Here is a 14,087-nt window from a genome sequence, read left to right on the forward strand (position 1 = left end):
AGCCAATACTGATACATTCCTATTAAATAAAGTTCATAGTTTATTCCGATTTTCTCAGTTTTAATGTTACGTCCCATCCAGGATGTAGTATCAGACTTTTCTTTGTTTTTCATGAGCCTGGCAATCTTGAATAGTCTTGGTCAGGTATTTTTAGGATTCCCCCCTATTGTCTGGGTGTCAGTATTTTTTAGAGATCCCCGGGGGATACGGCACTGTTCGGAAACTGCTGCTCTAGGGCCTTGTGTGTGTGTCTGGGTGGGGATGAGTTGTTTATATAAAAACGAGTTAGCCTAAAGAGTAGAAGAGGAGAAGTAATTTCCATGGTCCGGTGATCTGTTGTTATAATGAACCATCACAGAACTTAGGGGTGTAACAGGGTCATGGATTCCGCAGGTCAAGAAGCCAAGCAGGGCTCTGTGGGTACAGCTCTTCTCTGCTGGGAGCCCTGAACAGCTGGGGCAGGAATCATCTGGAAGCCTCATCACTTACGTCTGGTGCCCGGGCTGGGATGACTCGAAGGCTGGGCTCCTGGGACTGATGACCAGAGCACCTGAGTGAGGCCTCTTCTCAGGACCTCTCTAAACTCAGATGTCACCCCTGGGCAAGGCCTTCCCTGACACCACCTCTGCATAAGGCCCGGGCCCCCATTATTCCCTCACAGCACCCCCATTATCATGTGCAGTGTCCTTCTGATATCTGCCTCCCTCATCAGGGTGGAGGCTGTTTGCTGACTTCTTATCCCTCCCCCACCAAACAAGAATTGCAGGACTGTAGGGCTCTTGAAGCTCTTGTTCACTTTTGTGTTTTCAGTGCAGAGTTGAAGCTAGGTGAATATTTTTTAAGTGAGGGGCCAGGCATGGTGGCTCATGCCTGTAATCCCAGCACTTTGGGAGGCCAAGGTGGGAGGATCGCCTGAGGTCAGGAGTTCAAGATCAGCCTGGCCAACATGGTGAAACCCCGTTTCTACTAAAAATACAAAAATTAGCTGGGTGTAGTGGTGGGTGCCTGTAATCCCAGCTACTGTAATCTCAGCTACCTGGGAGGCTGAGGCAGGAGAATCACTTGAACCCAGGAGGCAGGGGTTGCAGTGAGCCAAGATCACACCACTGCACTCCAGCCCTGGCGACAGAGTGAGACTCCATCTCAAAAAAAAAAAAAAAAAAAATTGTTGAATGAAGGAGTGAGTGAGTTCACAGCCGAGGAAGGGAAACAGACACACAACAGACAGATGCACAACAAACTAACCCGACAGAGGAGGGAGTAATTGGCTCTTCCTTGGCCTGGTGGCAGGGGAACTAGAAAGACTCATCTTGCCCTGGATCCTGACAGGGGAGTAGTTTGGCCAGGCGGAGGGAGGGGCAGGAAGGGTAACCCAGGTACCAGTCTGCACAAGGCCGGGAGGCTGGACAGCTTGTGTGGCAACAGTACCTTGCTGCCCCTCCCATGTAGTTCCTGGGAGGGGACCCCTGCACTCTCAGGGTGCCCACTCATCACTGAGCAGAGAGAAGGGTTCAGAGGGAAAATGGAGAATTTAGTTGGGGGCAGAATTCTGAGGGCAAAGTCCCTTCCAAACTGCCTCAGAAATCCCTGATCTGGGGATTCCTAAATGCCAGGCCTCCTGCAAGGCACCCGGGGCACCTTGGGGCTTGGAACCCGGATTTGCAGGCCCTTTCCCGGGGATTCTGCATCGGGAGCTGTGCCCGGAAGCCAGGCCAGGCAGGGATGGGGATTTCGTGACAAATGGTGGGGAGGAAGGAGCTTCCCTTGCATCCCAGCTCTTCCTTGCCCAGAATGTTGGTTGGATCGTCCAGTTTTTCAAGCAGAACTGATGATCCTGATTTTATTTTATTTATTTATTTATTTTGAGATGGACTCTTGCTCTGTTGCCAAGGCTAGAGTGCAGTGGCATGGTCTTGGCTCACCGCAACCTCTGCTGCCTGAGTTCAAGTGATTCTCCTGACTCAGCCTCCTGAGTAGCTGGGATTACAGGCGTGCACCATCACGCCTGGCTAATTTTTGTATTTTTAGTAGAGACAGGGTTTCGCCATGTTGGCCAGGCTGGTCTCAAACTCCTGACCTCATGTGATGGTCCACCTCGGCCTCCCAAAGTGCTGGGATTACAGGTGTGAGCCACCGCGCCTGGCCCAATCCTGATTTCAATGTGACATCTCACCATGTGCTCAGGCCACATTCTAGCTGCCTTCGGTTCACACTCTGGGTATCAGAGGTCTTGTTATTCACACTTGTTATCTCACTGGATCCTTGCCACAACTCTGGGAGACCCACGGGAAACTGAGGGTTGGCAAAACGAACTGACTTGGCCCAGGCTTCGACACTGGGCAGGTAGCACAGGTGGGGGCTCAATCCAGGGCCGCCAGTTTCTGTTTTACCTGCCTCATTCTCCTCCCAGGTGAAACAAGGCACTGGTTTTCTTGTGCATCATTCAGAAATGACCACAAGAGGGTAGGATGGAGACGGTCTATTTTCCACATTTCGTTAATTTGCTTTTAAGCCGTTTTACATTCGGGCCTCCATTCTAAACCTGAAACATCCAAATTTTCCATGACCACTTAGATTTTCATCTTTTCATGCAGCCCACTAATTTCGGTAGATGTGTCACTGTGCTCTGTCCCCATTGGGCCCCATGTCAGTTTCTATTTTGTGAACCTGACATCAGAGCTGCCCAGCTGAGCTTAGGATGTTCCTCTGCAGCCTTCACAGCCCTGGCTGCCCCATTTATTTTCATGGATGATATTTTCTCTTCCGGAGAAAGTATTTTTTGGGAAAAAAAAATTTTGTTTTTGTTTTATTTGTAAAAAAGAGCGTGGGGTATGGATAGCCGAGCCTATAGTGAGAAACTTATGGTTATAGAAACAGCATTTTTCTCTTAAGGAGATGTATTTCCAGAGATGCTGAATCTTCTACTTGAACTCGAGGTCTCTTGAGAATAGGGACATTTTGTCATATTTCAAGCCTGGGTTCTGTGCCACCTTCTCCAAGAAGCCCTCCTGGGTTGCACCCTATCCTGTGAACTCCTCCATTCCAGGCCCTCTAGCCTCTAGTGCTGTAATTTATTCCCAAGTGCTTCTCTTACAGACCGTGAGCCCCGCTGAGGGCAAGAATCCTGCCTCACTCATGTCCCTAATGCTTCACACTTTATCCTCAGGGCCTTCATTGATTGAGCAGTTGCAGTCAGCCTGCTGAGTGCTTTTCTCATATCATCTGACCTCTGCCTCACTGCCATCCTGTGAGGGAGGAAATTATCATGATTGTTGTTGTTATTCTCAGCCTCATTTTATGTCTGAAGAAACCGAGGCACAGAGAAGAGAAGCAGGTTGTCCTGGATGACAGTGTGAGGCAGGGCTGTAGTTGGGATTTGAACCCCAGGCCTACCTGAGTGCAGATCCCTGCTCCCAGCAGCTTCGCTCCCAGCTCCTGGTAGGGCTTAATCATGTTCACTGACTGAGTGGGGAGGGAGCGCTCCAGCCAGGTTGTAGGCGCTGCTGGCCCTGCGCATGCCCAGGCAAGACCTTCTAGCTTGCTTCTCCCTCTTTTCTCATCCCTTGGCACGGTTTGCTCCTTCTCCACTTCCTTCTTTTCCTCCTCCCTTTTCTCTTCCTCCCTCTTCTCTTCCTCCTGTTTTTTCTCCTCCTTTTCCTCTTCTTCCTCTTCCATTTTTATCTCTTCCTCCCTTTTCTCCTCCTTCTGCACTTTTTTTTTTCTTTTTAAAAATCAAGACAGGGTCTGGCCATGTTGCCAAGGCTGGTATTGAACTCCTGGGCTCAAGTGATCCTCCCACCTCAGCCTCGTGAAGTGCTGGGATTACAGGCCTGAGTCACTGCACTGGGCCCATCTCCTCTTCCTCCTCCTCTTCCCCCTCCTTTTCCTCTTCCACCTTTACCCCTTCCTCTCTTTTCTCCTCCTCCTCTTTTTTCTTCTTCCTCCTCCTCCTCCAATAGCTTATTGAAGTATAATTTACAGAGTATAAAATTCACTCGATTGAAGTGTACAGCAATTTTTAGTAAATGTACCAAGTTGCCCAGGGATCACTCTCTAGCCCAGAACATTGTCCTCACCCCAGAAGGAAGCACTGTACCTATTAGCAGGCACTCCCCCCAGCCCCCACCCCATCCAGCGGAAGCCCCTGGCAGCCACTCGTCTGCGGCCTGTCTCTGCAGTCTTGCCTTTTCTGCACATTTCCTGTCAGTGGGCTCATGCAGCATGGCTTTGTTGTGTCTGGCTCCTTTCACGCAGCACGGCATTTTTTTTACGCATCTGCGTTGGTTGTATCAGGACTTCAGGCTTTTCGACTGGGCTGCTGCTTCTTGCTGGGTCCTGTCTTCGCTGACCCCATCTACCCCATCTGCCCCTCCGCATGGTGGAGAGAACCGATTGGGGCCAGGAGGGCAGTTGTTGGGTCAGGCTGGGAACTGAGAGGATGGAAAATGTGTTTGCTGTTCCCCCCCTCCCAACCGGCACCCACCCCCGCCCCCCGCCACCCGCCACTCCCTAGTTGTGTGTTTTCAGTGATTTCAAATGTGCTGCAGCTGACAACACTCTTAAGGGCTCTGTGGGTTGGCTCTGCCCTGGGATTGGCTCAGAGATGCCTTTTTTTGGGGCAGATAACCCCCTTTTCTGATGGGCTGGCCCCAGTTTGGGCTCCCTCTTATTGCTCTGCTAGCCAAGGGGGCTGAAGTGGATATGCCATTGTTACCAGAGAAGAGGGTCTTGAAACGGACCCCAAGAGAGGGTTCTCGGATTTCGTACAGGAAGGAATTCAAAGCAAGTTCCGGAGTGCAGTAAGAAGGGATGGTTGATTGAAAGCTACCCTGTTACAGAGTAGAGCATCCTCAGAAAGTGAGAGGAGGACCCACCGCCCGGGTTTGTTTTTAAGTTTTTCTTATAGAGGAGTGTTGTCCATGTAAAAGCTAAGCTAAACTGTGTCTACTTGCAGGTGAGCGCACGGCATGACAAAATTGATTACTTTATTGATTTAAAGAAACGTGGCACGTATGTATACACCATGGAATACTACTCAGCCACAAAAAAGGAAGGGAATAATGTCTTCTGCAGCAACTTAGACGGAGCTGGAGACCATTATTCTGAGCGAAGTAACTCAGGAATGGAAAACCAAATATTATATGTTCTCACTTACAAGTGGGCGCTAAGCTATGAGCATGAAAAGGCATAAGAATGATATCATGGAATTTGGGGACTTGGGGGGAAGGTTGGGAGGTGGGTGAGGGTTGAAAGACTACATATTGGGTACAGTGCACACTGCTCGGGTGACGGGTGCACGAAAATCTCAGAAATCATCACTATAGAATTCACCCATGTAACCAAAAACGACCTGTACTTCCCAAAATTATTGAAATATAAAACAATCTTGAAAAGCAAAACAAAAACCATCCTTGACATTTTAGTGTGTGAGTATACCGAAGCGTAACTATAATTATCTTGCAAGCACATACTGTTATGGGTATTGGGACACCTGGACTCTGTGCTGATGTAGGAGTACGTCCTTGTAGGTATCTTTAGGCTGTTTCCTCAACTGTAAACATCCCATGACTATCTTGTGACCAGCAAGGAATGTGGCTTTTTAGTCTTAAGATGGAGTCGAATTGAACATGGCCTTACTCTGGCTCTACCAGGCGCCTGCTTCCCTAACACGACCAGGCACTCACAGCTAAGATTTTTTTTGTTTGTTTTGTTTGTTTGTTTTTTGTGTTTGTTTGTTTGTTTTTTGAGATGGAGTCTCGCTCTGTCACCCAGGCTGGAGTGCAGAGGCGCAATCTCGGCTCACTGCAGCCTCTGCCTCCTGGGTTCAAGCAATTCTCCAGCCTCAGCCTCCCGAATAGCTGGGATTACAGGCATGTGCCACTATGCCTGGATAATTTTTGTTATAGTAGAGACGGGGTTTCGCTCTGTTGGCCAGGCTGGTCTCAAAATTCTGACCTCAAGTGATCCACCCACATTGGCCTCCCAAAGTGCTGGGATTACAGGCGTGAGCCACTGCACCCCGCATAAGATGTGTTGAGCCCTTACTGTGTACTGGATTCTGAACACTTTGTACGTAGTACCTCATTCATGCCTCCCAGCGACCCTGCGGGGGCAGGCACTGTCATCATCCTTATTTTACGTGAAGGAGTGGGGGCCCAGAGAGATTAACCAGCTAGCAAGTGTGGGAATGAGGCAATCTAACTCCATCCACACCCTTCCCCTGGGCCCAGGGATGCCTCTGTAATAAGACACCTCATCCTCTCCCTAGTCCTCAGTTTCCCTCTTTGGGAACCTGTTCTGTCTGCGCCCTGACCTTTCAGGGAATCACAAACTGCTTGAAGATGGGCACATGTCTGGCTTCCCTGGGTCCCCTTTGGTGGCCGACAATGCAGTGCACACAGTGGGTCTGCCATCTTCATGCCTAGATCTAAAGATGATTTCATTGTGAGCAAGACTGGTGCTGGGACAACTGGGAATTCTCTGCCTTTTGGGGAACAGTTACAGAGGACCTACTAAACCCTTGGCTGGTGCCAGGCCCCGAGACCACAGAGATAACCTGGGACCCAGGCTCTGCCCATGGGGAGCTCCCAGCCCTGTGAGGAAGACAGGCCATCCTCACCCAGCACATCCTACTGTACCCGAAGAGAGGGCGCAGTGACTCATTTTTTGCCGTTGGCATTAGGTTTAAAAGATGGTTGAACGTCCACAGAAGGAAAAGGAATTCCTGGCAGAGGGCACTGCCTGAGCATAGGCAGGGAGGCTGAGCAGCCACGTGTGCTTGAGCGCTGGTTTGGCGAGGCAGCAAGCGGCGGCTGTATGGTGAAGGGTGTTGAAGGCTGAGCCAGGAATCAAGGCTGCTGGCCACAGACGCATTGATGATGGATGACGTGCTGGTGGGGCTGAGCACCTGAAAAAAAAGGGTGTCAGTTCCCAAAGCAGGGCCTGGCATACAGTAGGCCCACAGGGAGAGCATGAGGAATGGGTGGCCGCCTGGGGTCCTGGAGAGTAGTATTTCGGATGTCTGGGCTGTGGGATGTGGGAGGAATGTCACTGAGCCATTCCTCAGGTGGCACATGCCATTCCTGCCCCGTCCCCACATAGGAATGCGGGCCACTTCTCACAGGCTGGAAGATGGCCTTGCTACATGCGAGTCTTCTGATGTTTAAATGTTGGTTAGTAACTAATTCAAACAAAATGGTGCACCACCTTCCTCTTTCCCCCCAAAAAAGAAAAACAACACTCAAACAAAATTATGTCTAAGGGGACTACCATTTTTCAACTTTTTTTAAAGAATTATTATTATTATTATTATTTTTTTTTTTTTGAGACAGTCTCGCTCGTCGCCCAGGCTGGAGTGCAGTGGTGCGATCTCGGCTTACTGCAACCTCCACCTCCCGGATTCAAGCGATTCTCCTGCCTCAGCCTCCCGAGTAGGTGGGATTATAGGTGCCTGCCACCACGCCCGGCTAATTTTTGTACTTTTTAGTAGAGACGGGGTTTCAACATATTGTCCAGGTTGGTCTTGAACTCCTGACCTTGTGATCCTCCTGCCTTGGCCTCACAAAATGCTGGTATTACAAGTGTGAGCCACTGCGCCTGATCGAGACTGGGTACTTTAAAGAAACAGAGATGTATTTCTCACAGTTCTGGAGGCTGGGAAGTCCAGGATCAAGGTGCCAGCAGGTTTGGTTTCTGGCAAGGACCTGCTTGCTTGTAGATGGTGTTGTCTAGGTTTTCTCATGTGGAAATGAGGGAGGGGATGGAAGGGGTGAGCTCACCCCTTCAAGCCCTTTTATTTTTGTTTTAAAATTATTTTTATTACTGTTTTTAAAGACAGGGTCTGGCTCTGTCATCCAGGCTGGAGTGCAGTATTGCAATCATAGTTCACTGCAGCCTCAAACTCTTGGGCTTGAGCAATCCTCCTACCTCAGCCTCCTGAGTAGCTGAGACTACAGGCACACACCACCACACCAGGCTAAGTTTTCCATTTTTTATAGACACAGGGTCTTATGATGTTGCCCAAGCTGGTCTTGAACTTCTCACCTCAAACGATCCTCCCACCTCAGCCTTCCAAAATGTTGGAATTACAGGGGTGAGCCACCATGCCTGACCTCAAGCCCTTTTATATGGGCATCAGTTCCACTCATGAGGGTGGAGCTGTCATGGCCTAATCACCTCTCAAGTGTTCCATTTCTTAACACCCTCATCTTGGGAATTAAGTTCCAGCTGATGAATTTTGGAGAAACACATACATTCAAACCATAGCCCTGGAGAATCCAGGCTGATCTCACCTCATGACCCTTAACCTCGACATCTGCAAAGACCATTTCCAAATATGGTCGCATTTGCAGGTTCTAGGTGGACATATGTTTTTAGGGGTCTCCATTCAACCCACTTAGGGGAGGAAGCCTACTTTCGACAGCATGGGCAAAGTCTTTATGGGTGCCTGGCTCACAGGGTGGGGTCAAGTGGTGGGAGGTGCACAGGGGCCTGGGGTGGGAGGGAACAGGTTGGATTTTCTCCCAAGAGTGATGAGGAAGCAAGGAAAGCATCTAAGATGTGTGTGTGGAGTGCCTCGGTCACATCTGTGCTTGCAGGTGGCCCCCTGCCATGGAGAAGGGCCCCTGGGGGCGGGAAGAGAGGACACTGTTCCACTTCGTCAGCCTCTGACTTCTGATGCAGCCACACTCCCCGGGCTGCCTCGGCCCACGGGTCAGGGTGGTGGTCAGGGCGGCCAGAGCAGGATAACCAGGACTGGGCACTGGGGGCAGCTTCTCCTGGGGGTGTGCCCTGGTGCGTCTGACCACCTCTGGTTGGGAGATGGGGACTTGGGGGTCTCCATTGTTGGCACCTGCCCAGCGGTGCTCCCCTCCCCACACCCCCCACCTGGTCCTAGATTGGCTCTGTCTCCACCTTGGACTCGCCGGGTCTTGGACCTTTGAACGTCTCTTTTTATTCTTAGCCCCCTGCCCTGTCACCATTGTCACTGCCACCTCCAGCTTTCTCCCCGGCTGTTCCTGGTGCTCTTTGTCCCTGCCCGCCTCCCGGGCCATCAGTCTGGCTTACTTTCTCTGACTTCCTTTGGGGTTCATCCCTTGCCCTGCCTGTCGCTCTCCCATCAGAACCCCTACCCCACCCATCTCCCTCTCCTCTCCCTCCATGTCTCTCGTCTTTCTCTTTTTCTCCTTTCACCCTCTGTGTTCCCTGTCTTGCCCTTCCCTCCCTGTCTCATGCCTTTCCTGCCTGTAACTTCCTTCTCCTTCCTCCCACCTTCCTCCCTCTGCCCTGCGCCTGGCCTGCCATCCTCTCTTCCTCTCTCCATCCCGCCTGTCTCTGGCATCCTGTCTGCCTCCTTCCAGCCCCTTTCTCTCCGGGCATTTCTCTGTCCTGGGCTGATAGGAGACCAGACAGTCAACCCTTAGCAGCCTCCATGCTGACTGTGGCCCCTGTCAGCCAAGGGGTGTCAGAAAGGCCCTGGCGGGCCCCTGTGTTTATGGCAACAGTCATTCAGTAGGGCAGCCGCGAGCGCTGCATGCCCCACTTCTATTAATCCCTCAGTTAGCGGGGCCTAACCCCAGACTTGACACTCATCAGCCAGTCAGCCAGGACACGCAGCGCCAGGGGTACAGCCAGGCAGCTGGCATCATCCCTCCAGCGGTGCCGCCAGTGCAGAGGAACCAGCCCTTTTGCTGCACTTTTGTCGGTCAGCAGGACCCAGTGCTCTGGCTATGCTGTCAGCTGGGGCTGTCCTCTGACTGGTACTGTCAGCTGGTGAGCAGGGCTGGCTTTTCAGCTGTACTGTCTGGCAGTTAGGGAGCAGGGCCGGCCTTCCGACTGTGCCGTCAGGGAGCAGGGCCAGCCTTCCGACTGTGCCATCAGGGAGCAGGGCCGGCCTTCTGACTGTGCTGCCAGTCCCTGGCTCTGCCATCGCTGGGGCCAACCCCTGACTTGTCAGGCAGCGAGCAGCTGAGACCCAGTGCCTGCTGGGAGTGGGGCGCTGAGAATCAATGAAACCACAGGCCTGCCTCTGAAGAGCTTTGAAGCTACCCCGTGGTTTTCTCAGCTGCTGCACCCAGCACCCTCTCCTTGTTTTTTGTTTTTTTGTTGTTTTTTTTTTTGAGACAGAGCCTCACTCTGTCACCCAGGCTGGAGTGCAGTGGCACGATCTCGGCTCACTGCAAGCTCCGCCTACCGGGTTCACGCCATTCTCCTGCCTCAGCCTCCCGAGTAGCTGGGACTACAGGCGCCCGCCTCCGCGGCCGGCTAATTTTTTATATTTTTAGTAGAGACGGGGTTTCACCGTGTTAGCCAGGATGGTCTCGATCTCCTGACCTCATGATCTGCCCACCTTGGCCTCCCAAAGTTCTGGGATTACAGGCGTGAGCCACCGTGCCCAGCCCACCCTCTCCTTATTTAAGTGAGTTTCCTGTTAGATGCTCTGCCTGGTGTCCAGTGGTGAGGCTGAAGGATGCAGCACAGATGGGCCCAGGATGTTGCTGGGGCAGTCAGTGTGCCAAGCTCCAGCCTGGGGGCGGGAGCCTGGTGCAGAACCCAGGGCCTCTGCCTGGTGCCTCTGTGAACACCTCCCCCGCCTCAGTTTTCCCCTCTCAGCAGTGAGAAGGACCTTGCCTCAGAAGCACAGCTGTCTTGCATCCGGCGCTCACTTGCCGGAGTCTCTGGGTTATGGCCTCGGCTTATGAGGAGCAGGTGTTGAGTAGGGGATCCAGGAGCGTCTGGCTTGTATTTGAATCCCTGTCTCACTGTTTAGCTGCTGCTCACCTCAGGAACCTCTTTTGACCCTGTGAGTTTTGGTTTCCTCATCTGGACAGTAGAAGTGATGATACTGCCCTCATGATATGACCATGAAAACTAAACTAGATGGTTTGGCAGGATTCTACCTTGTTGAATCCTCAAAGCCCTGAACACAGGGATAATTTGTCGCATTTTACAGAAGGGGTAACTGAGGCTCAGGAGGATGAGGTGACTTGCTAAAATCATGCTCTTTTGAAGGAAACATCTGGGAAAGTTTGCCTTGGATTTGCCCGAGGTGTGCTTTTATTGCATTTTAATCTCTGAAAATTGACATTCTCCTCACTCCCCACCTGGTGCAGCTGGCAGCTGGTGCCTCAGGGAGCTGATCCCTCCCTTTGCCAGCACCCCACTCCCCATGCTGGGCTGGGTGTCCACAGGAGTGGACGGGCCCAGGAATCATGGCTGGGAGGCCTGGGTTCCAGCCTTGCTTTAGCTACCAACTCACCGCGTGACCTTGGCCAAGTCCCTTGACTTCTCTGGGCCTCGGTTTTCCTCTCTGTAAAATGGGGATGGCCACACCCTCCTTCTGGGGGGATCAGAAGCTTAGCTGAGTTTAAAAGGAACATGACTGACATCAAAGGAGCCCGGTAAACCAATGGGATCCTGAGTTGATTTCCTTCCCTGTAACGAGTGGCAGGGCCTCCTTCTCCTCATGTGGTTTGGGGAGGAGGAACCACATACATTTGGGCTCACACGCACAGCACACAGTCAGTCCACACATGCACAAAACACACTCGTATGCACACATGCACACATACTTGACTCCACGTAAAAGCATGTACACACACACTCCTTCATGCATAAACACACACACACACGCGTGCACACATTCAGTTCCCGGGCATCACCTTCTCTCTTCTTGCCTTCTTGCCGTACAACTGAAAACCCTAAAACCCTCCGTGCCTACGGCTCCCGGGAGGGTGAGGGTCCAGGCAGCTGGGTTCAGAAGGATCCACCCCTGGACCCGCCCCACTGGACGAGAAGCCAGAGATGCCCCGGGCGGGGCTCATAGGACCGAGTGGTGGCTTCTCAGTTCCCCAGGCAGCCGTGGCCATTAGTGGAGCCGACTGGCTGGTCCCCTGGCCGTGAGCCGGCTTCTGAATGATTTATGCCGCCTTGAACTTGACTCCAGCGTGACAGGAGTGAGAAGAGCCGCTCCCGCTAGAGGAAAGCTGGAAACCGTACTGTGCTCACCACATAACCTCTGGGTGCTGGAAATGGAGTATTACTACTGCCCCAGCCTGCTGAAGCTCTTGCGCTACCTCTGGGTGAGTGGCGGGGGGCAGTGCAGGCTCCAGGACGGGGTCACGTCCTTTCCCTCTCCTCCTGCTTCCTGTCAACTTTGCTTTTTGGCTGTGTCTGGTTAGCAATGTCTCTGTTTTCTTTAAGAAATGGTGGAGGTTACAAGGAAGAGAGAATGTTGGGGAAAAAGGAAACGGGCTTGGTTTGGGAGGTAGCACAGGTTTGTAGGAAGAGCTGAGACTCCTGAACAGGAATGAAGATCCTGGATCCGATGTGGGCTTTCCTCCAGTCCTCAAGAAAACAGGAAGAACGAGAACCACTTCAGTGAGTTTTTCAGAAAGCAACATTTATTTGATTTAAAGGACTATTCTTTATTCTGAAATTACATCCCTCTTGCCTCTGTGTGTGTAAGAATGTCTGTCTTCTATGGGATGAAAATAATAGATTTTGCTTTCCTTTTCCTGAACCTACACAGTGATAGAAGAAGTTGGGACCCCTTCCCCACTAACACTCACACTGTGCTGTCTCCTCTGGATAACAGAGGAAAAAAACCAGAACATTTTCTGATGAAATGCCAAAGTCAGGGAAGCTGTGCAGAAGTGCTTTGTGAGGTATAAAATGCTTTCAGGTCTCACTTTGACTTCGCAACTGGTCTGTTTTCTGTGCCTGGGCAAGTTACTTCTCCTCTCTGGGTTTCTGTTTCCTCCTCTGTGAAATAAGGAGTGGGTGTAGGTGATTCTGGGTTGTGTGACATCCATCAGGGCTCTGGGAATAGAGGGACTTACCGAAGAATTGTCATGGGCTGGTCTCAGAGTTTTCCAGAATATTTGCCACTGGTTTCAGCACACCCAAAAGGGAAAGTCTTAGGAAATATTATCTTTCCCATTGCTGAGTGTTTGCAAATACTTCAGATGCCTTCTTGCCCAGAGAATTTTCCAGCGCTCCTAAAAATACAACTTTAGGAAACATTGCCTTTTAGCCGCCAGTCCCAGAGTGTCTCACCTCCCTCCTGAGCCCCCCAGAGCAGTGGGGAAACAGGAGATCCCCCCAGTCCATATTGTTCAATCATTGGCCTATGAACATTCTTATATAATAAATGTAAGGCAACATTGATTGATTGATTGATTGATGTTTTAATTACAAAAATAATGCATGTGCATGGTAAAAAGATATGGAAAATTCAGACAGGCACAAAGAAGAAAAGAAGTCTCCAATAATCGTATTTTTGAATTGTGTGGTTTGCAAGGTCTGGATAACCTTGATGTGCCTGGCTGCGTGTTGGGCTCTGGGCTCCATGCTGGAGATGCAGAGATGACTAAGATACAGTCCACGGTCCCCAGAACTTAGAGCTTGGCATAGGTGTTGAACTCATTGACAAATGGCTACGATCTCATGTTCATTCAGCACACACTTACCAGCAGTAGTTTGGAGCTAGCGCCAGATACTTGGAATATAGGAGCAAGACGGCATGGTCCCCTGACCGCATGGAACTTAGTCTGGTGAGAATTTGGACTTTGCTCAAGGAACTGAAACAAGGACCATGTATGTGTTAGGATGGGGGTGGTGCACAGTGCCTCAAGGGATATGGTCTCGTTGGGGTGCAGGGGCCAGGAGAGCCTCCCCAAGGAAGCTGAGTGCTGGAGGATGCCTAGGAGCTGGCAGTTGATGCTAGGGTAGGGGTCCAGGGAAGTGTGTGCCAGGCAGAGGGAACAGCATGTGCAAAGGGCTGGGGTGGATGTCAGAAAGAGCAAGAGCCCATGGCATGCCCATGGTACATTCCAGGTACTGGCCTAAGCTCATCCTGGCCAGTAGAGGCTGGGCAGTAATGCCCTCAGCCTCCTAGGGGCAGCTTTGTGGAGTGACAGAGTCACAGCTCCTCACCTGGCTGTGTCCCACCTCTCTAGTGACCTTGGGCAAGTCTTTTCCTCTCTGGGCCTTGGTTTCCCCATCTGGACCATGAAGAGGTAGGATGAGGCAGTTTAGAAAGTCTTTCCTAGATGTGATAATGAGAGAGATTTTCATTTGTCCGCTGC

The 14,087-nt window shown here is 51.3% G+C and overlaps 1 protein-coding gene across 7 annotated transcripts in view, besides 3 other annotated features; it reads left to right on the top strand.

Moving 5' to 3' along the window:
- The window catches only part of KIAA1671, a 244,733-nt gene that overhangs the window by 105,621 nt on the left and 125,025 nt on the right, over positions 1 to 14,087 (top strand). The window contains exon 1 of one of the 7 annotated variants that reach the window (NM_001386935.1): positions 11,821 to 12,080. The exons of the other annotated variants lie outside the window; for them this stretch is intronic. Coding sequence (NP_001373864.1) covers positions 12,030 to 12,080 — 51 coding nt within the window. The 5' untranslated portion in view covers positions 11,821 to 12,029. Of the gene's footprint in view, positions 1 to 11,820; positions 12,081 to 14,087 lie in introns of those variants that run through there. 7 annotated transcript variants of the gene reach the window in all.
- Positions 2,913 to 3,827: an enhancer, noted in NCBI's record as "H3K27ac-H3K4me1 hESC enhancer chr22:25457216-25458130 (GRCh37/hg19 assembly coordinates)". NCBI's record gives its function as "activates a minimal SCP1, AML or CMV promoter by ChIP-STARR-seq in naive H9 embryonic stem cells {active_cell/tissue: H9 hESC(naive)}" and the evidence as "EXISTENCE:reporter gene assay evidence [ECO:0000049][PMID:30033119]".
- Positions 8,183 to 8,742: an enhancer, noted in NCBI's record as "H3K4me1 hESC enhancer chr22:25462486-25463045 (GRCh37/hg19 assembly coordinates)". NCBI's record gives its function as "activates a minimal SCP1, AML or CMV promoter by ChIP-STARR-seq in naive H9 embryonic stem cells {active_cell/tissue: H9 hESC(naive)}" and the evidence as "EXISTENCE:reporter gene assay evidence [ECO:0000049][PMID:30033119]".
- Positions 11,287 to 11,837: an enhancer, noted in NCBI's record as "H3K4me1 hESC enhancer chr22:25465590-25466140 (GRCh37/hg19 assembly coordinates)". NCBI's record gives its function as "activates a minimal SCP1, AML or CMV promoter by ChIP-STARR-seq in primed H9 embryonic stem cells {active_cell/tissue: H9 hESC(primed)}" and the evidence as "EXISTENCE:reporter gene assay evidence [ECO:0000049][PMID:30033119]".

The sequence above is a fragment of the Homo sapiens genome, chromosome 22 (assembly GCF_000001405.40).
Source record: "Homo sapiens chromosome 22, GRCh38.p14 Primary Assembly".
Taxonomy (NCBI): Eukaryota; Metazoa; Chordata; class Mammalia; order Primates; family Hominidae; genus Homo; species Homo sapiens.